The sequence below is a fragment of the Homo sapiens genome, chromosome 7 (assembly GCF_000001405.40).
Source record: "Homo sapiens chromosome 7, GRCh38.p14 Primary Assembly".
Taxonomy (NCBI): Eukaryota; Metazoa; Chordata; class Mammalia; order Primates; family Hominidae; genus Homo; species Homo sapiens.
Genome location: NC_000007.14, coordinates 99,990,473 through 100,013,584, shown reverse-complemented (window position 1 = coordinate 100,013,584; position 23,112 = coordinate 99,990,473). Strand labels below are relative to the sequence as shown.

The window sequence follows — 23,112 nt, the reverse complement described above, 5'->3', positions numbered from 1 at the left end:
TTTACTATTCAGTAAGTGGAAATAGATCATCATCAAGGTCTTCATACTCATCGTCTTCACACTGAGTAAGCTGAGGAGGAAGAGGAAGGGTTGCTCTTGCTGTCTCAGGGGTGGCAGAGGCAGGAAGTGATCCACCAGCCTCGGCCTCCCAAAGTGCTAGGATTACAGGTGTGAGTCACTGCACCTGGCCTCTTTTCTTTCTTTTTTTTTGAGAGAGTTTCCCTCAGTTGCCATGTTGGAGTGCAATGGCGTGATCTCAGCTCACTGCAACCTCCGCCTCCTGGGCTCAAGTGATTCTCATGCCTCAGCCTCCCAAGTAGCTAGGATTACAGGTGTGCACTCACCATGCCTGGCTAATTTGTGTATTTTTAGTAGAGATGGGGTTTTACCATGTTGGCCATGCTGGTCTCGAACTCCTGGCCTCAAGTGATCCACCCACCTCAGCCTCTCAAAGTGCTGGGATTACAAGTGTGAGCCACCGCGCCTGGCCTCGACATCTTTGATTACTTCCTAAGGATGGATTCCAAGAAATGAGATTACTGGTCCCACAGATAGTCAGAGGGAATATAGGCAATAACGTTTGTAACCCCAGGGTTCTAGACCTGTCAGCAAACAAGCTCAGCTGACAAGATCAGGTGGTATCCACCCAAGAGTTTTGAAAGGACTCTAAGATGAAAGTGTTGAAAGAATCATGAAACTAATGATTTATGATTACAAAGAGACATTGTGCTTAAAAATTGGCTGGCTGCCCTGAACAAATAAAAGTTCCTGAAGGGCACCCTAGAAACTGTGGTTGCCTAAGTTTGACTTCTGTGTTGTGAAAGCTGGTGGAGTCAATGCTGAAGGGGAGCCCGGGTTTGCGGCTGTGACTGGGTGGCTGCAGCTACTCCTGGGAGGGAGGGTCTCCTGTCCCTCCAACTTGGAAGGAGTGGGGGCTTCCATGTGTTCCCAGCTCCCTCCAGCTCTGTGGAGTGCTGCGATCCCAGCTATGCCTCACTCACTGCAGCCAGCATCATGGCAGTGGCCACTCCAGATGGGGTGCTGCTGCCAAGGCGGGCAGATCACCTGAGGTCAGGAGCTCGGGACCAGCCTGACCAACACGGAGAAACCCCGCCTCTACTAAAAATACAAAATTAGCTGGGCATGGTGGTGCATGCCTGTAATCCCAGCTACTCAGTAGGCTGAGGTAGGAGAATCGCTTGAACCCAGGAGGCAGAGGTTGCGGTGAGCCGAGATTGAACCATTGCACTCCAGCCTGGGCAATAAGAGCGAAACTCTGTCTTAAAAAAAACAAAACAAAACAAAAAAAACAAACCCAAGTCTTATATCTGATTCCAAAGGTCCCATTTTACTGAGTCTTCTTCTTTCTTCTTGACGGAGTTTTTGCTTTTGTCACCGAGGCTGGGATCACTGCAACCTCCGCCTCCCAGGTTCAAGCGATTCTCCTGCCTCAGCCTCCCACGTAGCTGGGATTAAAGGCGTGTGCCACCTGCCTGACTAGTTTTTGTATTTGTAGTAGAGATGGGATTTTGCCATGTTGGCCAGGCTGGTGTCGAACTCCTGACCTCCAGCGATCCGCCCACCTCGGCCTCCCAAAGTGTTGGGATTATAGGCGTGAGCCACCGTGCCCAGCCTGAGTTTTCTTTACTGTCGGCTAGGGCTGTGGCTGGGGAACCTGCTGTGGGAAGGGTACTTTCATCTATGCTTTTCCTCCTCCCCTTCCCTCTCCCTGGGGTGGCAGGAGTGAGTGATCTGACTGTTGGAGACACCTTCCCTCTCTATTTTCCTATTGGAAGCTGTGGCTTCTCTGTTGTGTTGAGCAAAGTGGACGGATAGGGAGAGGGTCAAAAATCTCTTACTTAACTGACTATTCTCTCCTGTTGGTTGTTGCTCTTCCCTCGGTAACACAGTGTTCCAGCTACTTAAGCAGCAAAACAAATTATTCAACAATTTCGTGGGTGAAAGCAATGACAACATTGTTTATTTTGCTCCTAAATCTTCCATTTGGTGGAGGGATCCACATGGATGGCTCATCTATGCTCCACCTGGCTCCTCTGGGGGGCCTCAAAGGTTGGACCATCTGAAGGCTCGCCAGCTCCTAAGATTGGTGATTGGTCTGGCTGTCAGCGGAGATCTTAGCTGGGGCAGTGGATCTGAACATGTGCAGGTGGTCTCTTCATGTGCTCTGGGCTTCCTCACAGGATGGTGGCTGGGGTCCAAGGACAAGTATCCAGAGAGAGAGAGAGGAGGAAGGAAGGAAGGAAGGAAGGAAAGGGAAGGGAAGGGAAGGAAGGAAGGAAGGAAGGAAGGAAGAGCAGGTGAGCGGGCAGGCAGGTAGGGAGGGAGGGAGGAAAGGAAGGAAGGAAGGCAGGGAGGGAGGGAGGGAAAGAAGGAAAGGGGAGGGAGGGAAAGAAGGAAAGAAAGGGAGGGAGGGAGGGAGTGAAGGAAGGAAGGAAAGGAAAGGGAAGGGAATGGAAGGGAGGGAAGGAAGGAGGTACGGGAAGGAAGGAAGTGGAGTGGGTGACAGAGAGACAGAGGGGACAGGTGAATGAAGGCCACATGTCCTTTATAACCTAATCTTAGAAGCACTCAGCATCCCTTTCACTGCATTCAATGCCTTGAGGCAGTCATAAAGTCACACCTAGTTTCAGGGGAAGGGAAAATATGTTCCCCCCTCTTTTCTTCTTTTTTTTATGACACGGGGTCTCACTCTTGTCACCCAGGCTGGAGTACAATCATGACTCGCTGCAGCCTCGACCTCCTGGGCTCAAGTGATCCTCCACCCTCATCTTCCCGTGTAGCTGGGACTACAGGCATGAGCAACTATGCCCGGCTAATGTTTAAATTTTTTTTGTAGAGATGGGGGTTTCACTATGTTGCCCAGGCTGGTCTCAAACTCCTGGGTTCAAGCAATCCTTCCACCTCAGCCTCTTGAGTAGCTGGGAGTACAGGTGCACGCCACCACACCCAGCTAATTTTATTTTATTTTTTGTTAGAGATGGGGTCTCACTATGTTGCCTAAGCTGGTCTTAAACTCCTGGGCTAAAGGGATACTCCTGCCTTGGCCTCCCAAAGTGCTGGTTTTACAGGCACCATGCCTGGCGATGCCACCTTTTTTTTTTTTTTTGAGACTAAGTCTCACTTTTGTCGCCCAGGCTAGAGCGCAGTAACGCGATCTTGGCTCACTGCAACCTCCACCTCCCGGGTTCAAGCAATCCTCCTGCCTCAGCCTCCTGAGTAGCTGGGATTACAGGTGCCTGCCACTGTGCCCGGCTAATTTTTGTATTTTTAGTAGAGACGGCCATGTTGGCCAGGCTGGTCTTGAACTCCTGACCTCAGGTGATCTGCCCACCTTGGCCTCCTAAAGGGCTGGGATTACAGGCGTGAGCCATGGCACCCAGCCAGATGCCACCTTTTGATGGGAAGTGATGTGGTTCTGGAATTGCATGTGGGACCAAAAACGCTGCCAAGGTCACTTTTGGAAAACACAGTCTACCGCTACTGTGCGTCAGCCACACAAACGTTGGCTTGTGGTGTTCAGGGATGAAATCCTCAGGGGGCCTTGGGGGCCTGCTTACTACTCAGTCCCCTGTCCCAGTCGATCTGCCTTCTGCCCCTAGCAGGGCACTGCACAACCTCCTTTTGAGGAGATTCTTGGGTGGGGGCACCAGTTGGACAACTCAAGTCCAGCTACCTGCTCCTGGGTCCATTTGATCTGTGACAAACTCAGGCACCCTTGGCCACTCAAATGGCTGGAACGTGGACCTCCTGCGGTGCTCCTGCCCCTCCCTGGCCACCTTCCCCTCTTAGTGAATGGAACGTGGACCTCCTGTGGTGCTCCTGCCCCTCCCTGGCCACCTTCCCCTCTTAGTGGCTTTGTTGAATCACCCGCCACCTGCCTAGGCACGAGAGTCTCCTATTTAAAATAATGCTCAACTAGAGGTTGAGGGTTTTTTTGTTTTTGTTTTTGTTTTTGAGTCTTGCCCTGTCGCCAGGCTGGAGTGCAGTGGCGTGATCTCGGCTCACTGCAATTTCCGCCTCCTGGGTTCAAGTGATTCTCCTGCCTCAGCCTCCTGAGTAGCTGGGACTACAGGCCTGTGCTTCCACACCTAGCTAATTTTTGTATTTTTAGTAGAGATGGGGTTTCACCATGTTGGCCAGGATGGTCTTGATCTCCTGACCTTGTGATCTGCCTGCCTCGGCCTCCCAAAGTGCTGGGATTACAGGTGTGAGCCACTGTGCCTGGCCGAGGATGAGGTTTTTTGTAGATATGGAGTCTCCCTGGTGACTGGGATTCCTGCCCGCCCTGCCCCCTGCTCTTTTTTTTTTTTTTTTTGAGATGGAGTCTCCCTCTGTTGTGCAGGCTGGAGTGCAGAGTGCAGTGGTGCAATCTCAGCTCACTCCAACCTCTGCTTCCCGGTTCAAGTGATTCTCCTGCCTCAGCCTCCCCAGTAGCTGGGGTTACAGGTGCATGCCACTACGCCCAGCTAATTTTTTGTATTTTCAGTAGATATGAGACTTCTCCATGTTGGCCAGGCTGGTCTTGAACTCCTGGCCTCAAGTGATCTGCCCACCTCAGCCTCCCAAAGTGCTGGGATCACAGGTGAGAGACACCGCACCCAGCCTCTGTCCCCAGGTTTTGAAGACATTCTCACTTGTCTTCATGGTGAGGGGGCAAGGGAACCAGTCATGGAGGAGGAGAGGGAAGCCCCCACCAATAGGCAGAAGGCAAAGTCCTTTCTCTTTGGCTTCTACCAAGTCCTTTCTCTCTTTCTTGCTGCTTTCGTCCAGACTTGAGGAGCAGAAAAACTGGCTGAGCAAGCAAAGCTCGCGAGCGTTTCTGCCTGTCACGTAGGTGGCATCTGGGATCTTTGATGTGCCGTGCTGTGGGCTGGGAGTGTCCTCCTGAAGTTTTTCCTTCTTTGTTCTCAGCTATGGACTCCAGCCACGGACAACAGAGTCCTAGCCCACGTCCAGTCACATGACTGCAAAAGCACCTGCGTCTGGATACGGATGTTTATGAGAACATTGGTGCCTAATCAAATCAAATCAAAACAAACCAAACAGCCCCTAGCCTTGTGGCCTCATTCCCAAGTCAGCCCAAGCCATATCCTTCCTAGCTATGGTGTATAGTAGAGGGGCGCAGGACTCAGATGGTCTTGGTTCTCATCTTGTCTGTACCATGTACTCTTGGTCTAGTTACTTGAACTTTTGGAGCCTCAGTTTCTCTAAGTGTAAAATGAGGATTCAAACAGCACCTACCTCATTGGGATGTCATGAGGCTTGCATGATGGAGTTGATTCATGTAAATCAGCAGTTGCAGGGTCTGGCATTGGACACAGATGAATTTAGGGCTGTGGGCTGTTGACTGACCCTTGGGCTTGAGTGACATGTGTGGCTCCATCCTGAAGCTCTTTTCTAGCAGTGCTGAGGTGGGAGGAGGGACTTGACTCTGCAGGTGGGGCTTGGACAGTGGACCAAATTGAGGATTAGCTAAAATGGGGCCAGGGCAGAAGCAGCTTTCCATAAGACATGCCCACCAGAGTGCCATGTCAGTTTACCGTTGCCATGGCAACACCCGGGAGTTACCACCCCTTTCCATGGCAATGAGCTGACAACCTAGAAGTTACTACCTCTTCCCTAGTAATTTCTGCACTAACTGCCCCTTAATCTACACGTAATTAAAAGTAGGTAGGCCAGGTGTGGTGGCTCACACTCACACCTGTAATTCCAGCACTTTGGGAGGCCGAGATAGGTGGATCACTTGAGGTCAGGAGTTCGAGACCAGCCTGGCCAACATGGTGAAACCCCATTTCTACTAAAAATACAAAAATCAGCCGGGTGTGGTGGTGCACGCCTGCATTCCCAGCCACTCCGGAGGCTGAGGAATGAGAATCGGTTAAGCCCAGGAGGCAGACGTTGCAGTGAGCCAATATCGCGCCACTGTACACTGTACTCCGGCCTGGGCAACAGAGGGAGACTCTGTCTCAAACAAAACAAAACAAAACAAAACCCCAAAAAACAAAAAATAATCTATGGTGGTGCTGAATGTAGACAGAGAAGAGCCAGTGTGGTTGTTCACGTCTGTAATCCCAGCTACTCGGGAGGCTGAGGTGGGAGGAGGGCTTGAGCCCAGGAGTTTAAGACCAGCTTGGGCAACACAGTGAGACTCCATCTCAAAAAAAAAACAAACAAACGAAACAAAAACAAAAACAAAAAACCAGTGACTGTAGAGAGAGAATAAAGTGGTTGGGGGAAAAGAAGTCAGGGCTTCAAAGTAGAAAGAGTACTGAAAACTTATAAATAGCACTTTATCAGGAAGGTAATGAAAGACCTGAATGTAGGTTGGTTAAAAGCATGATAGCAGGAAGAATCCAGGCACATTGAAGATGAAGACAGAAAAAAACAAACAAGCCACATTTAGCAATTTCAGCAGGAAATGAACACAGATCCTACGGGGAGGCGAAGTTAACTTGTAAATGAGACTCTGTATGAAGGTACCTCTATATACATTTGCGTAAAACTAGTTTAAAAGCTGCAAAACACAGTCACACAGTTGTTACAGAAACGTGATCACTAAAGAATAAATTGGGGTTGGGGCAGGGCATGGTGGCTAACGCCTGTGATCCCAGCATTTTGAGAGGCTGAGGCAGGTGGATCGCTTGAGGTCAGGAGTTCGAGACCAGCCTGGCCAACATGGCGAAACCCTGTCTCTACTAAAATACAAAATAATTAGCCACGCGTGGTGGCACATGCCTGTAATTTCAGCTACTTGGGAGGCTGAGGAACAAGAATCACTTGAACCCCGGAGGAGGAGAGATTGTGCCACTGCGCTTTAGCCTGGGCAACAGAGTGAGACTCTGTCTCAAAATAAATAAAATACAGGCTGGGCGCAGTGGCCCATGCCTGTAATTGCAGCACTTTGGGAGGCCAAGGTGGGTGGATCACTTGAGGTCAGGAGTTCGAGACCAGGTTGGTTAACATGGTGAAACCCTCTCTCTACTAAAAATATTTTAAAAATTAGCCAGGTGTGGTGGTGCGCACCTGTAATCCCAGTTACTCAGGAGGCTGAGGCAGAAGGATCACTTGAACCTGGGAGGTGGAGGTTGCAATGAGCCGAGATTGCGCCACTGCACTCCAGCCTGGGGAACAAGAGCAAAAACTCTGTCTAAAAAAAAAAAAAAAAAAAAAGGGCCAGGCATGGTGGCTCATGCCTGTAATCTCAGCACTTCGAGAGGCTGAGGTGGGCGGGCGGATCATGAGGTCAAGCGATTGAGATCATCCTGGCCAACATGATGAAACCCAGTCTCTACTAAAAATACAAAAATTAGCTGGGTGTGGTGGCGGGCGCCTGTAGTCCCAGCTACTTGGGAGGCTGAGGCAGGAGAATCGCTTGAATCTGGGGGGTAGAGGTTGCAGTGAGCCAAGATCATGCCACTGCACTCCAGCCTGGCGACAGAGCGAGACTCCATCTCAAAAAAAAATATATATATGTGTGTGTGTGTGTGTGTGTGTGTGTGTGTGTGTGTGTGTGTGTAAACAATAAATACATAAATTGAGGAGAAGGCAGGGGAACCAGGATTTGACAGTGACAAGAAAGAAAAGCCCAGGAGGACCTGGTGGCTGAGCCAGATGCTGGGGCTGGACTAAGGGTGATGGGAGCAGAGCTGGGACCTTTGGGTGGCAGAGAAGTTCTAATCAGTGAAACTGGGCAAAGCTATTTGGATGGAGCAGTAGAGTTGGGGTTAAGAGACAGAGACAGGCCGGGCCTGGTGGCTCACACCTGTAATCCCAACAGTTTGGGAGGCCAATGTGGGAGGATCATTGAGACCAGGAGTTTGAGACCAGCCTGGGTAACATACTGAGGCCTTGTCTCTACAAAAAATTTAAAAAATTAGCCAGGTGTGGTGGTGCGTGCCTGTGGTCCTAGCTACTCAGGAGGCTGAGGTGGGAGGATCGCTCGAGCTCAGTAGACTGAGGCTGCAGTGAGACTAGATCGTGCCACTGTACTCCAGCCTGGGCCACAGAGTGAGACCCTGTCTCAAAACAAAACAAAACAAACAAACAAACAACAAAAAAAAGAGGCAGAGAGACAAAGGCGGCGAAGAAGATGGAATGATGATGCCTTTCGGGTAGGTTTGGTGTTTTGGGTTGTAAAAGGGAGGATAAAGAAGTAGGAGAAAGTAGAAAGAACACTAATTGGGACTCAGGTAATGGCTTCAGGTAGATTGTACAGGTTTGAATGCGGGGAGACAAAGCCCACGAGGAGACAAGAGGAAACAAACTTGGAGGAAAGTTTCTGTGATTCTAAACACGTTCCCTCTCTTATCTCCATGATTTCAGCTAGTGGTGGGATGCTCTGTGTATGTTTCATGCAGTTTCACATAGTTGGGGGCTCAGTCTCTCCACATAAGGCATTTTATTTCTTTTCTCTTTTTTTTCTTTTTTTGAGACGGAGTTTCATTCTTGTTGCCCAGGCTGGTGCGCAATGGGGCAATCTCAGCTCACTGCAACCTCCGCCTCCCAGGTTCAAGTGATTCTCCTGCTCAGCCTCCCAAGTAGCTGGGATTACAGGTGCCTGCCACCACACCCAGCTAATTTTTATATTTTTAATAGAGACAGGGTTTCGCCATGTTGGCCAGGCTGGTCTCGAACTCCTGACCTCGGTGATCCACCCGCCTCAGCCTCCCTAAAGTGCTGGGATTACAGGTCTGCGCCACTGCGCCTGGCCTCTCCACGTAAGGCTTTGAGTGGCGTACTGGGAACGCCCCGCTGGTGGTGTCCTTGGGTGGACTGCAGGGCCCTCTAAGTGCCCCTTGAGGCTGACCACTTCGGCTTCCAGCATGTCTGAGATGAGATGTGACACTCTCTCCTGGGAGCCACCTGCAAGGTGATTATGTATTGGAACAAGCTCTCTTCTTGCCTTATTTTACAGCCCAATGGAGAGGAAGTAGGGGTCAGAGTAGTAGGGGTGTAAAATTTGGAGTCACTCTTGTTGGGCGTGTGGTTTGTGCAAGTGACCCGACCTCTCTAAGTCTTGACTCCCTCATCTGTAAAATAGGGATGGTTTTGGCAAATAGCTACCCACTTAGCTACTCTGAGGACGGTATGACATTGTGGAGGTGGCAATGCTTTGTAAACTGCAGAGGACTTTTAGGTGCCAGCCATCGCCATGTTTTAAATGCGGAGAACTGCATTTCTCACCACCTCGCAAAATAAAACTTCACAGTTTATTTGGGTTGGGTATAATTACCGGGCGAAAAATGTAAAAATAACAATGTTTTAGAAATTTCCCCAAAGAAGAAACAGTATTGGCTGGGGCTGCCTTCCCAGGGGCCCTGGAATCCTGAGGGTGCCTGACCTGCAAATGCCCAGCGCTTAGCAGGAGAACAGCCAGATGGCCCTGCTAGTTCCCTCTCTGTGCAAACATCTCTCACCCAGCCGAGTCAACAACCCTCCCTGGGTCAAGAGGCTCCTCCATGCTGCTTCTGTGTGGTGTAGCCTAGAAACTGGGCGGCTGGGGCACAGGGCTCTGGACTTTGGTTATGTGTTTAATCTAGGTCCCTGAGCTACAGGGTCATCTGTTTTGGCTCCTTCTCTGCTTATGTAAACAGGGCTGGTGGGCCCATCAGTACAGCCAGGCCCCGCTCTCACCCCCTCCTCCTGTAAACACATTACAAAGAATCTTTGTAACTGCCCAGGAAGAGCAGCTCTGCTCAGGGGAAGAGAGCCTGCATCCGGAGGGGGTGAGACTCGGGGTGGAGATGGATGGGGGAAGAGTAGGCAGGAGGGGCAAAGGTGGGGCAGGAGTGGTGCTTGCCAATACCTCCTGTACTATGTGGTACAGAAAAGCCAGCTTTGCTCAAAGTCTGGCCGTGATAGGAGGGGGCCTGTTGTCTGCAGCAGAAACCAAGGTGGTAGGAAGGGTGGTGTTAGAAAAGGGGAGAACTGGGGTGGGGCATGGTGGCTCACACCTGTAATCCCAGCAATTTGTGAGGCTGAGGCGGGAGGATTGCTTGAGGCCAGGAGTTTGAGATCAGCCTGAGCAACATGGGAAGATTCTGTGTCTACAAAAAATACAAAAATTAGCTGAGCGTGGTGGCATGTGCCTATAGTCCTAGCTACTTGGGAGACCGAGGCAGGAGGATCGCTTGAGGCCAAGAGTTGGAGGCTATAATGAGGTACGATCACACCACTGCACTCCATCCTGGGTGTCAGAGCGAGATCCTGTCTCTAAAAAAAGAAAGAAAGAAAAGGGGAGAATCTTTATTTCCTAACATCCTGCAGCCCTGACACTTTTCTTACCTTAGCAATTCAAACATGGTTAAAAAAAAAAAAAAGGAGGGGGTGCCAAGTGCGGTACTTCACACCTGCAATCCCAGCACTTTGGGATGCTGAGGCGGGTGGATCACCTGAGGTCAGGAGTTTGAGACAAGCCTGACCTACATGGTGAAACCCTGTCTCTACTAAAAAAATACAAAAAATTAACCGGGCCTGGTGGTGGGCACCTGTAATCCCAGCTACTCTGGAGGCTGAGGCGGGAGAATCGCTTGAGCTGGGAGGCGGAGGTTGCAGTGAGTCGAGATGGTGCCATTGCACTCCAGTCTGGGCAATAAGAGAGAAACTCTTTCTCAAAAAAAAAAAAAAAAAAAAGAACTAGGCCAGGTGTGGTGGCTCACGCCTGTAATCCCAGCACTTTGGGAGGCTGAGGTAGGTGGATCACCCGAGGTCAGGCGAGACCAGCCTGGCCAACATGGTGAGACCTTGTCTCTGCTAAAAATACAAAAATTAGCCAGGCATGATGGTATGCGCCTGTAATCCCAGCTACTTGGGAGGCTGAGGCAGGAGAATTGCTTGAACCCTGGAGGTGGAGGTTGCAGTGAGGTGACAGGGCGCCATTGCACTCTAGCCTGTGCGACAAGAGCAAAACTCCATCTCAAAATAAATAAATAAATACATACATACATACATACATACATAAATAAATACAATAAAAAGAACTAAAGCCTCCTTTTCAAGTAGTACAGGTTAGAAGCAAGAATATTAGCTGGAGAGTCAAGAAAACAAATTGTATTCCTGCTCCTACCCCTAATGAGCTGTGTGCCCTTTGGATGATGCCTTAACATCTTGGAGTTTCCTTGTCTAGATAAATCAGAATGATAATATTTGCCATTTTTTGAACACCCTTGATATGACAGGGATTTTTACCTGCTATTTTATTAATCTACACAAATACCCAATGAGGTAGGGTGGGTTATCCCCATTTTAGAGATAAAGACATTAAGACTTAGCTAGGAGAACTGACTTGCTTAAAAATATGTATGTGTAAGTAGCAGGAACAGCTCTTTTGTATTCCAAACCCCCATTCTGCCCCTGCAACTAAGAAAGGTGGGGGCGGGGTGGTGGCTCAAACCTGTAATCCCAGCATTTTGGGAGGCCGAGGCAGGAGGATCACTTGAGCCAGGAGTTCAAGACCAGCCTGGGCAACGAAGCAAGACCCTGGTTTTTTTTTTTTTTTTTTTTTTGAGACAAAGTTTTGCTTTTGTTGCTCAGGCTATAGTGCAATCGCATAATCTTGGCTCACTGCAGCCTCTACCTCCTGGGTTCAAGTGATTCTCTTGCCTCAGCCTCCTAAGTAGCTGGGATTGCAGGCATGTACCACCACGCCTGGCTAATTTTTGTATTTTTAGTAGAGATGGGGTTTCACCATGTTGGTCAGGCTGGTCTTGAACTCCTGACCTCAGGTGATCCACCCGCCTCAGCCACCCAAAGTGCTGGGATTACAGGCATGAGCCACTGCGCCCAGCCAGCAAGATCCTGTTTCTACAAAATATAAAAAATTAGCCAGGTGTGGTGGCATGCACCTGTAGTCCCAGCTACTTGGGAGACTGAGGCAGGAGGATCACTTGAACCCAAAGGCAAAAAAAAAAAAAAAAAAAAAAAAGAAGAAAAAGAAAAAAAAAACTATTTTTATTGCTTAGGGACAAAGTTTCTGACTTCCATAAACTCAAGATCAGCTGGCACGGTGGCTCATGCCTGTAATCCCAGCACTTTGGAAGGCCGAGGCGGGCGGATCACTTGGGGTCAAGAGTTTGATACCAGCCTAACCAACATAGTAAAACCCTGTCTCTACTAAAAATACAAAAATTAGCCAGGGGTGATGGTGGTCGCCTGTAATCCCAGCTACTTGTGAGGCTGAGGCAGGAGAATCGCTTGAACCGGGGAGGCAGAGGTTGTAGTGAGCCAAGATTGCAACACTGTACTCCAGCCTGGGCAACAGAGTGAGACTCTGTCTCAAAAAAAAAAAAAAAAAAAAAAAAAAGCTCAAGGTCTGGAGTCAAAGCCTCTACCTCTCCCAGATATCTCCTCCCACTGTATTTATCACCTTGGTTAAAATCCAGGGAAGGGAACAATCAGCAACTTGTTCCACTCGGGGTAGAACTTGGCAGGAACTCTCGAAGTTGCTGTTACTACCTTTCCATTGCAAGGCAATTCATAAATGTCTAAATTTCCATAGTACATCTTGGAGGCTGCATGAGGGAGAAAGAGCCAGCAACCCTTATGCCTACAGACAAAAATTAGTTTTTTTTTTTTTTTTGCTATGGGGTCTCACTCTGTCACCCAGGGTTGAGGGCAGTGGCACGATCTTGGCTTACTGTAACCTCTGCTTCCTGGGTTCAAGCGATCCTCCCACCTCCTACAGGTGTGAGCCACTGTGCCCTGCCTATCTGGCCCTTTATAGAAAAATGTTTGCCATCTCCTGTTCTAGATAAAAGTAGCCATCTGAGCAGGGATGAGGGAGGGTCTCACCATTCGGGAGGTAAATATCTATTTAATCCTCTTGTTTTCTCTGTAGCGTCCACACCCTCAACTGTGCCCGGTATTCCTCAGGCCAGCGGGGTCTGATTGCTGGCCTGAGGGGTGTGGGATCTCAGACCCACCATGGATGGGCAGCCCTAAACTTCCTTCTCCCACCTTCAATGGTTAAGTCTTTACTTCTGTTGGTATAGAGTGGTGGCTGGGCTTGGACTTTTCAGGAAGGAGACTGGAAGGTGTTCCTCTGGAGAAACTGACCCAGGGCTAAGAGCTACAGATACTGGCCGGGCATGGTGGCTCACGCCTGACATCCCAGGACTTTGGGAGGCCGAGGCAGGTAGATCACCTGAGGTCAGGAGTTCGAGGTCAGCCTGGCCATCATGGTGAAACGCCGTTTCTAATAAAAATAGAAAACTTAGCCGAGTGTGGCGGCAGGCGCCTGTAATCCCAGCTCCTCGGGAGGCTGAGACAGGAGAATCGCTTGAATCTGGGAGGCAAAGGTTGCAGTGAGCCGAGATCGTGCCACTGCACTCCAGCCGGGTAACAGAGTGAGACTCTGTCTCAAAAAAAAAAAAAAAGGTCACTTTATACCACACTTTGCTCTTGTTAATCAGACTCTGCAAATAGCAAGTGACTGAACCCTGCGATTCAGTTACAACAAAGACATTTGAATGGACAGAGAAGATGTTTGAGGAAAGCTCCTACCTTTTTTTTTTCTTTTTTTTTGACTGAGTCTTCCTCCATCACCCAGACTGGAGTGCAGTGATGTGATCACGCTCACTGCAGCCTCAAACTCCTGGGCTCAGGCAATCCTCCCATCTCAGCCTCCTGAGTAGCTGGGACTACAGGCGTGTGCCACTATACCCAGGGAATTTTTGTATATTTTCTTGGTAAGGACGAGGTTTTGCCATGTTGCCCAGGGTGGTCTGGAACTCCCGGGCTCAAGCCATCCTCCTGCACTGGTCTACCAAAGTGCTAAGACTACAGGCGTGAGCCACCACACCTGGCCAGTGCTAACCTCTTTAATGAGGATTGTTATTGCTTTTTCTTGAAGTTTTGATTGCAAATATATATAGTTTTCAGTAGTTTGCCCAACTCTATTAATTTTGGTCTTGTTTTGCGTGCCAGACAGGGGCTTTCAAACAGAACAATACAGTTCATAAGGAACACAGGTTTAATAATTGCTCAGAGGAAAAAAGACCTACCTGGTACCCTCTCCACAAAGACAAATCCAAAGACACAAAAGAAAGGGAGGGCCGGGCATGGTGGCTCATACCTGTAATCCCAGCACTTTGGGAGGCCAAGGCTTGAGCCCAGGAGGTCGAGGCTGCTGTCAGCCGAGACCATCACGCCACTGCACTCCATTCTGGGCAAAACAGCCAGACCCTGTCTCAAAAAAAAAAAAAAGTGATTTACAAAGTATATTTATTTTTTAAAAGATACATTATCATGCTTGCTTTCACTCAGATAAAAATGCTACAAGATATTTTATGGGTATAGTAAGAGACAGTATGATGCCCTATTCAAATTTTGTGAAAATTGAATAGGTTGCTATCATTTCTACATACATCTTTCTTAACACTTTCTGGAATTTACTCCTCTTCCTCTTTCCACATTGCTTACTGTACAGAGAAGGAGGCTCCATAATGGGAAGGGATACTATCACATTTTTAATGATTATTAACAGTAAAAACAATGATAAACCTCCGACGTATTAATACTACCTGCCACACACACTGTGGTGGATGCTTTCTACAAATTAACCTAATCCATTCCTCCCTATTACAAGATATTATTGCTATGCCCCTAGAAACAAGGGATTTGAAAGTCAGAAAGGTTAAATAAATTGGCCAATAAGTGGCAGTCAGTTCTCCTGCTATACTATTTCTAGAAAACAAACCTTTATTTTTTAAGGGGCTTGGCTATTTTGAGCAGAAGTGATCTGTGGTCACACAGATCTTAATCACCACTCCCCGACAGAGAATAAACATTTATCAGGATGGGGCCGGGGAAGGTGGCTCACGCCTGTAATCCCAGCAATTTGGGAGGCCGAAGTGGGAGGATCACTGAGGTCAGGAGTTCGAGACCAGCCTGGCCAACATAGCGAAACCCTGTCTCTATTAAAAATACAAAAATTAGCTGGGCTTGGTGGCAGGCGCCTGTAATTCTAGCTACTGGGGAGGCTGAGGCAGGAGAATCGCTTGAACCCGGGAGACGGAGGTTGCAGTGAGCCGAGATCGTGCCACTGCACTCCAGCCTGGGCAACAGAGCAAGACCCTGTCCCCCATCCCAAAAAACCAAAAACAACCATTTATCTGGATGGTGTCGAAATATTTACCACTTCCCCTGCACTTCTGACTTTTCGAACTTTGTGCTTTTGCCTGAGTTCCATCTGGAATGTTCTTCTTGGATGGTGGAGCATGTCGTCCACCTAACCAATTCCTACCTCTCCTTTGAATACACACCACTTAGTGGAAGTCTTCCCTGATCCCTGCCGACAAGCTTTTCAACTGCATCTCTCTCTTAAGCTAACCCAAGTCAGTACCGGCACCCTTGCTGGAATGTCCCATTTTGGGAAAGGCAGTATTTCTTGTATGAATCTTCATTTGCTCTCTACTGGGGGTAAGTGCACGTTAGAGAATAATGAAAACTTCAAGTCAAGGGATGCAGAGTGCGTTTACCAGTTCAACAACCTGGACTTTCTACCAGGCCATTTTCAAACTGAGCTGCCACGGACAGCAGCATGGACTTTGGTGCTAGCGGGGTCGGCCTGAAATCTGCAGCCTGCATGCTCCAAGGATGCCTGAAAAGAAGGGTCGAACCATGGGCCGCTCCCAGGACCCACCCTTTTAGTCTTCCCAGCTGGCTCAGGAAACAAAGGGGGGCCGGAGAGAGGCGGCGCCCAGGGCGCAACAGCCGGAGACTGGCGCTGCGTGCCTGGGGACAGAGGCCTCGTGCTAGGAGCCCCAAGCAACTACACACCTAGCCGCTGGCAAGAACAAACAGCAGTGACAGCAACAAACAGAACCGACAGCCGCAGACCGCCGTCGCTGCGGCCCACAAAGGCCGGAAGTGTGGCGGGTGCCGGCGGCCGAGGCGCCCTCTCTAGGACTTCGGAGGGCCCGCATCTCGGTGGTTCCCTATACTGGAAGACCCCCGATTCCCAGGGCGTGTACCCTACGACGGGGGCCTCAAAATGAGTCAAAAGGGAGAAAAGCCTGGGCGCAGTGACTCGTACCTGTAATCCCAGTCCTTTGGGAGGCCGAGGTGGGAGGATCGCTTGAGGCCAGGAGTTCGAGACTGGCCTGGGCAACAGAGAGAGACCTGGTCTCTACCAAGAATTAATAAAATGAGCCGGGTGTGGTGGGGCACACCTGTAGCCCCAGCTATTCGGGAGGCTTAAGTGGAAGGATCACTTGAGCCCTGGAGTCAGAGGCTGCAGTGAGCTTTGCTTGCACCATTGCACTCCAGCCTGGGAAACACAGTGAGACCCCATCTCAAAAAGGAAAAAAAAGGAAAGAAGAGAGGGAAGGAGAGAGGGAGGAAGGACAGAGGGAGGGAGGAGGGAGAGAGGGAAGGAAGGAAGAGAGGAAGGAAGAAAGGAAGGAAGGAAAGAAGGAAGGAAGGAAGGAAGAAGGAATCGAATTCAGCGGCTCACCTGTGGAAGAGGAAATCCATTTACAATGCATCCAGGCCTGAGTTTCAGCTGAGGGGTTGGAGCATGGCTGATTATCATCCTGGCTTCCCCCAGAGACCAAGGAAACTGAGGCCTGGAGCAAGTTCTTGCTTGCTCAGGGTCTCACAGTGATCCGGGTCAGAAGCCAGGACTTGTGGGACCACGATTTGTGCCCTTTGCACTGCCTGGACTGCCTCTCATCATAAATGAATACGGATAAAATTCGTTATGCTTTCAAAGTGGTAGGAAACACATGACAGATCAAAGCAGACAAAATAGTGTGCAAGACTTTTGAGAAGACGCCTCACACTCGTCGGGATGGCTACAGTTTAAATATCCCTTATCTGAAATGCTTGGGACCGGAAATGTTTCAGATTTCAGAATTTTTTTTTGACTTTGGAATATTTGCTTTACTGGTTGAGCAGCCCTAATCCCAAAATCCTAAGTCTGAAATGCTCTAATGAGCATTTTCTCTAAGTGCCATGATGGCCCTCAAGTTCTGGTTTTGTAACTTTTGGAGCTCAGATATTTGGATTAGGGATACTCTCCCTGTACTAAAAACAAACAAACAAACAAACACAAAAAACCACCACCACCACCAACAAAACAAAACAAAATAGCAGGTGTTTGGTGAGGATGTGGACAAATTGGAATCTTTGTGCATTGCTGGTGGGAACATAACATGGTGCAGCCCCCGTGAGAAATAGTACAGCGCTTCTTCAATAAAATTAAAAATAGAATTGGCTGGTGTGGTGGCTCCCGCCTGTAATCCCAGCACTTTGGGAGGTGAAGGCAGGCGGATCATTTGAGATCAGGAGTTCCAGACCAGCCTGACCAACATGGCAAAACCCTGTCTCTACTAAAAATACAAAAAAAAATCAGCTGGGCGTGGTGGCTCACGCCTGTAATCCCAGCTACTCGGGAGGCTGAGGCAGGACAGTTGCTTGAACCTGTGAGGGGGAGGTTGCAGTGAGCAAAGATGGTGCCACTGCACTCCAGCCTGGGCGACAGAGCTAGATTCTGTCAAAATGAAATGAAATGAAATGAAATAAAATAAAATAAAATAATCTCTGAAGGCTAAAGAGAGAAATTGGGTCAGCTGAAGAGTTTACAGATTTGCAGAGAATAGAGGCAAGGAAGCTTTGTGAACTACTTTTAGGTTGTGAAACTTGGTCTTGATTCAGCCCCCACATGGTCTTCATATACAAAGCTTCTTTGCAGAGGAAGCTCTTTGGAGAAAGATAACTGGTGAGATAGAAAGCACAGCCAAGAGATAACAAGGGAGACTTCTCTGGAGAATTTTGTGGATGAAGAGGAAAAACAAATCCATAAGGTCATGGGGATAATGAGTTATTTGAAATCAGAAAGAGTGATTAACATGGAGGCGGGGCGCAGTGGCTCATGCCTGTAATCCCAGCGCTTTGGGAGGCTGAGGCAGGCGGATTGCCTGAGGTCAGAAGTTCGAGACCAGTCTGGCCAACATGGTGAAACCCCATCTCTACTAAAAATACAAAAAAATTAGCCGGGCGTGGTGGTGTGCACCTGTAATCTCAGCTACTCGGGAGGCTGAGACAGGGGAATTGCTTGAACCAGGGAGGTGGAGGTTGCAGTGAGCCGAGATTTCGCCACTACACTCCAGCCTGGGCAACAGGGCGAGACTCCATCTCAAAAAAAAAAAAAAAAAAAAAAAAAAAGCAAACCAAACCAAAGCACACAAACAAATAAACAAACAAAAAACATAAGGCAATTCTCTACAGGTGTTTTACTGCTAGAAGATCATGCTCCTCATTTCCTAAAGACTCACAGAGAACAGAAGACTGGTTGCATGAGAAGTGAATAACAAGAGGTTATAGTGCTTATTTGGGTTGGGGGCAAACATGACATTTCAATATTAACTTGTTTATTTATTTATTTTTCGGTTATACATCATTGCTGGTATATGTACTTTATTTTATTTTTTAGAGATGGGGGGTCTCGCTATGTTGACCAGGCTGGTCTCGAACTCCTGGCATCAAGCCATCCACCCATCTTGGCCTCCCAAAGTGTTGGTATTACAGGTGTGAGCCGCTGTGCCCAGGCTAACTCGTTTTTTTTCTTTGGTCCAGCAAGGCTTGTGAATGTGTCTGGGAACGACGTAAAATCTGGCTTGAAAAAAAAACTCTCAACTCAAAGCTCCAAGACAGAGCTGAGATGCTTTTGAAGGAGACAGCCTCATTGGTCTCCTTGTCGGAGAGGCCCCAACTTATCAGTAAATATTGGTTAACATCTATCATCTGGTGGGACTAAGCATGGAACCAATTGCCCTTGCACAGAAGGCCACGTATTGTAGTATTCAACATAGATGGAATGACCAGGAAAGGCAAAACCACAGATATAAAAAGTAGATTAAGGCCAGGCGCGGTGGCTCACCCCTGTAATCCTAGCACGTTGGGAGGCCAAGATGGGCGGATCACCCACCAGCCTGGTCTATATGGTGAAACCCCGTCTCTACTAAAAATACAAAAATTAGCCGGGCATGTTGGTGCGCGCCTGTAATCCCAGCTACTCGGCAGACTGAGGCAGGAGAATCGCTTGAACCCAGGAGGCGGGAGGCGGAGGTTACAGTGAGCCGAGATGGCACCACTGCACTCCAGCCTGGCGACGGAGCAAGAAAAAAAAAATAAATAAAAAATTGCTAAGATTGTTATTAAATCCGCTGGGAGAGTCTTTCATCATGTTAGCAGGATCATTGTGTCCTCTGGTGGCAATAACACGCGACTGCAACTGACTTGCCTGTGCAGAAAAATCTTTCCTGAATCCTGAAAGCTGCATTCTGTTCTATTAGCTTAAGAAGGAAATCTGACACTGATCCGCACGGTGTGTTTTATGATCCTGCACATAAAGATTAGGTGCTCAAGGATGCAGAGGAGCCCACTGCTCCCAGAGCAGGTGCCTGAGCCTAGGAGGCATCTGACCAGAGTCTCTGTCGCCCAAGCTGGAGTGCAGTGGTGCGATCTCGGCTCACTGCAACCTCTGCCTCCAGGGTTCAAGCGATTCTCCTGTCTCAGCCTCCCAAGTAGTTGGGATTATAGGCACGCACCACCATGCATGCCTGTAATTTTTTGTATTTTTAGTAGAGACGGGGTTTCACCATGTTGGCCAGACTGGTCTCAGACACTTGACCTCAGGTGATCTGCCCGCCTCGACCCCCAGAGGGCTGATATTACAGCGTGAGCCACCGTGCCTGGCCGAACGACAGGATTTCAAGCCTGAACTCGAGAGGTAGCCCAGACTGGGGATCTGCACTGGGAAGTCATCCGCAAGGACGTGGTGGCTGGAGCTATAGACAAAGGGAAAGTTATCCAGGGAGAGTGAGGGTGTGGAATGGGGAGAGAGAGGGCCCGCAACACAGTCCTAAGGAACACCAGCACTTTTTTTTTTTTTTTTTTTTTTTGAGACGGAGTCACCCAGGCTGGAGTGCAGTGGCATGATCTCGGCTCTTTGCAACCTCCACCTCCCAGGTTCAAGCAATTCTCCTGCCTCAGCCTCTCAAGTAGCTGGGATTACAGACGCCCACCACCATGCCCAGAATTTTTGTAGTTTTAGTAGACACGGGTTTCACCATGTTGGCCTGGCTGGTCTTGAACTCCTGACCTCAAGTGATCCACCTGCCTAGGCCTCCCAAAATGCTGGGATTACAGGCATGAGCCACCGTGTCTGGCCCAGTTATCGCTTTCTGAGAGAGGAGTTTCTCCAAAGTTTTCAGTTTGACATAATCAATATAACCATCCTGCGTATTAGGGGATGGCTGGTTCTTCACTCCTTCAGCATCTTTGGTTAACCGGTACCTCGACTTGGCCATATCCACAGGTGGGGGAGGTCAGGAGATGTCACCCCTAGTCACTGGGGCTGTGGGGAACATGGTCTCTGAAATGGAACAAGGCTGACCAGGCCGATGGATGGCTCACAGTGTCTGCTGGAGGTTCCTTTTGCTGCTCAGGGCCAGGGCGTGGCTGGAGGAAGAGGCCCCACCCAGGAAGTTCCGCAGGGGCTTACACAGTCTTCCCAGACCCAGAAGCACAATCTCCAAAAGAGTGAACAAGAGACGGAACCCACTGACCCCAAACATGGCTTTTAGAAAGATGATCTTCTCCGAGGGGTGGGAAAAGGTGCAAGTTAATCTATACGGGCAAGGCTCTTGGCCACATGCAAAGGAGCTGGGCATCTGGAACCCATACAGGTGGTACTGCAACCCCGGCGCTGTCCCCTCCAGGACCAGCTGAGCTCCCAGCTGAGCCACATAAGCTCAGAGCAGCCTGAGGCTTCCAGCCCCTGGGGTATCTCTGCTGCTCTCCCCTCCCTGGATCAGGGTGTCCTCTTCCTCCGTCCCCTTTCATGATTCTTCCCAGTGCCAGATCACGTGATACAGAGTGAAACCCATGTAGAGGACGCTAGGTACAGCCACCAAGATGACCTGGAAGACCCAGAAACGCAGCGGGGAGAGCGGGTGGAAGGCATCGAAGCAGGCAGCCTTGCAGCCCGGCTGCTGGGTGTGACACACGAATTCACTCTGCTCATCGCCATAGACTCCAGGCCCACTGGCAGCCAGCAGCACAAGGCGGAATCCCAGGAGCACGGGAAACAGGAGGCGCCCCACGGGGGTGGAGTGCCAGCTCTCCTCCGCCAGCAGCCACCACCTCAGGAACCTGCCACACATCCTGTTAGGGAGTTTTAAAAAAAGATTATTACACGTTATTGATTTTTTGTTTTTAAAGACCTCTGTTGCCCAGGCTGGAGTACAATGGTGTGATCATAGCTCACTGCAGCTTCCAACTGTTGGGCTCAAGCAATCGTCCTGCCTCGGCTTCCTGAGTAGCTGGGACTACAGGTGCATGACACCACGCCCAGCTAAGTTTTAATGTTTTTATAGATATGGGGTCTTGCTATGTTTCCCAGTCTGGTCTCAAACTCCTGACTTCAAGCAATCCTCCTGCCTCGGCCTCCCAAAGTGCTGGGATTACAGGTGTGAACCATTGCACCAGGTTATGAGTGATTTATTTTTTATTTTTTGAGACAGAGTCTTGCTCTGTCGCCTAGGGTGTAGTGTAGTGTCGCGATCTCTGCTCACTGCAACCTCTGCCTCCCGGCTTCAAGAGATTTTCCTGCCTCAGCCTTCTGAGTAGCTGGGATTATAGGCGTGCACCACCACAGCTGGCTAATTTTGTGTATTTTTAGTAGAGATGGGGTTTCACCATGTTGGCCAGGCTGGTCTTGAACTCCTGACCTCAGGTGATCCACCTGCCTTGGCCTCCCAAAGTGTTGGAATTACAGGCGTGAGCCACTGTGCCGGGCCATGTATTGATTTATGACTTTGCCTGTAACTTCTGCTTCTCTGCCTCTAAAAACCCTTACCTACAAGCCATTGGGGAATTTAGGTCTTACACTTGAGCTGGCTGATTCTCCTTGCTTGGCACCCTGCAATAAATGCCTCAGTTTCTCTCACTGGAATCCACATGTCAGTGTTTGCAGCACCCGGTGGTTGGACCCAAGTTCGATGAGGTAACAGACGTCCACTGGGTGTGCTGTAATCCCGCGGAGGTTTTCCTCCATAATAAAAGGCAGGAATTGGCTGGGCGCCGTGGTTCATGCCTGTAATCCCAGCACTTTGGGAGGTCGAGGCGAGTGGATCATCTGAGGTCAGGAGTTGGAGACCAGCCTGGCCAACATGATGAAACCCCGTCTCTACTAAAAATACAAAAAATTAGCTGGGTGTGGTGGCGGGCGCCTGTAATCTCAGCTACATGGGAGGCTGAAGCAGGAGAATCGCTTGAACCCAGGAGTTGGAAGTTGCAGTGAGCCGAGATCGCGCCACTGCACTCCAGCCTGGGCAACAAGAGTGAAATTCCCTCTTAAAAAAAAAAAAGACGGCGAGAATTGTGTGAGTTGTGCGAGGAAGACCGGATGACCGTTATCTCATGGCCTTTGCATCCAGGCTTTGAGCCAAATTCTCAAGGACTGGATCCTAACACTTGGCTGCAACTATTTCCTTGACCACTAGGGGGCAGGCAAAAGCCATAGCGAATCCGGCCTAGCGCTGATTGGAACCTGCTTGAGAAAAAGACCTCTTTGTTTAAGCCGGCGGTCCCCAATCTCTTTGGCACTAGGGACCGGCTCCGTAGAAGACAGTTTTTCCACGGACTGGGGAGGGGAATGGTTTTGGGATGATTCCAGTGCATCCCGTTTATTGTGCACTTTATTTCTATTATTATTACATCGTAATATATAATGAAATAATTCTACAACTCGCCACGGTGTAGAATCAGTGGGAGCCCTGAGCTTGTTTTCTTGCAACTAGATGGTCCCATCTGGGGTTGATGGGAGACAGTGACAGATCATCAGGCGTTAGATCTCATAAGGAGCGGGCAGCCTACATACCTTTCTTGCACAGTTCACAATAGGGTTCGTGCTTCTGTGAGAGTCTAATGCTGCTGCCGATCTGACAGGAGGTGAGCTCAGGCGGTAATTGGAGCAATGGTCGGGGGGTGGGGGAGCAGCTGTAAATACAGATGAAGCTTCGACCCTGCAGCTCACCTTCTGCTGCGTGGTTCGGCTCCTAACTGGCTATGAACGGGTACCGGGAG

General features: G+C 49.4%; 1 long non-coding RNA gene and 1 pseudogene across 2 annotated transcripts, besides 8 other annotated features; both read right to left on the bottom strand.

Annotated features, from left to right (window-relative positions):
* Nucleotides 1,951–16,510, bottom strand: LOC105375423 (uncharacterized). 2 transcript variants are annotated; one of them, NR_159959.1, is made up of 4 exons: nucleotides 15,799–15,895; nucleotides 14,093–14,202; nucleotides 5,263–5,464; nucleotides 1,951–2,209 (listed from the first exon to the last, which is right to left on the bottom strand). It is a non-coding gene; the product is annotated as an uncharacterized LOC105375423 (long non-coding RNA). The 2 variants fall into 2 exon arrangements; NR_159960.1 differs by lacking the exons at nucleotides 5,263–5,464; nucleotides 15,799–15,895 and adding an exon at nucleotides 16,475–16,510.
* Nucleotides 3,164–3,663: an enhancer, noted in NCBI's record as "H3K4me1 hESC enhancer chr7:99607545-99608044 (GRCh37/hg19 assembly coordinates)". NCBI's record gives its function as "activates a minimal SCP1, AML or CMV promoter by ChIP-STARR-seq in primed H9 embryonic stem cells {active_cell/tissue: H9 hESC(primed)}" and the evidence as "EXISTENCE:reporter gene assay evidence [ECO:0000049][PMID:30033119]".
* Nucleotides 5,381–5,881: an enhancer, noted in NCBI's record as "H3K4me1 hESC enhancer chr7:99605327-99605827 (GRCh37/hg19 assembly coordinates)". NCBI's record gives its function as "activates a minimal SCP1, AML or CMV promoter by ChIP-STARR-seq in primed H9 embryonic stem cells {active_cell/tissue: H9 hESC(primed)}" and the evidence as "EXISTENCE:reporter gene assay evidence [ECO:0000049][PMID:30033119]".
* Nucleotides 5,882–6,382: an enhancer, noted in NCBI's record as "H3K4me1 hESC enhancer chr7:99604826-99605326 (GRCh37/hg19 assembly coordinates)". NCBI's record gives its function as "activates a minimal SCP1, AML or CMV promoter by ChIP-STARR-seq in primed H9 embryonic stem cells {active_cell/tissue: H9 hESC(primed)}" and the evidence as "EXISTENCE:reporter gene assay evidence [ECO:0000049][PMID:30033119]".
* Nucleotides 9,402–9,902: an enhancer, noted in NCBI's record as "H3K27ac hESC enhancer chr7:99601306-99601806 (GRCh37/hg19 assembly coordinates)". NCBI's record gives its function as "activates a minimal SCP1, AML or CMV promoter by ChIP-STARR-seq in naive H9 embryonic stem cells {active_cell/tissue: H9 hESC(naive)}" and the evidence as "EXISTENCE:reporter gene assay evidence [ECO:0000049][PMID:30033119]".
* Nucleotides 9,505–9,799: an enhancer, noted in NCBI's record as "tiled region #15167; HepG2 Activating DNase unmatched - State 5:Enh". NCBI's record gives its function as "activates a minimal TATA promoter and a strong SV40 promoter by Sharpr-MPRA in HepG2 cells {active_cell/tissue: HepG2}" and the evidence as "EXISTENCE:reporter gene assay evidence [ECO:0000049][PMID:27701403]".
* Nucleotides 15,933–16,052: an enhancer, noted in NCBI's record as "active region_26332". NCBI's record gives its function as "activates an Ori minimal core promoter by ATAC-STARR-seq in GM12878 lymphoblastoid cells {active_cell/tissue: GM12878}" and the evidence as "EXISTENCE:reporter gene assay evidence [ECO:0000049][PMID:35858748]".
* Nucleotides 16,063–16,152: an enhancer, noted in NCBI's record as "active region_26331". NCBI's record gives its function as "activates an Ori minimal core promoter by ATAC-STARR-seq in GM12878 lymphoblastoid cells {active_cell/tissue: GM12878}" and the evidence as "EXISTENCE:reporter gene assay evidence [ECO:0000049][PMID:35858748]".
* Nucleotides 19,008–19,509: an enhancer, noted in NCBI's record as "H3K27ac hESC enhancer chr7:99591699-99592200 (GRCh37/hg19 assembly coordinates)". NCBI's record gives its function as "activates a minimal SCP1, AML or CMV promoter by ChIP-STARR-seq in naive H9 embryonic stem cells {active_cell/tissue: H9 hESC(naive)}" and the evidence as "EXISTENCE:reporter gene assay evidence [ECO:0000049][PMID:30033119]".
* On the bottom strand, nucleotides 20,512–21,188 carry LOC100128334 (gap junction protein gamma 3 pseudogene; annotated as a pseudogene).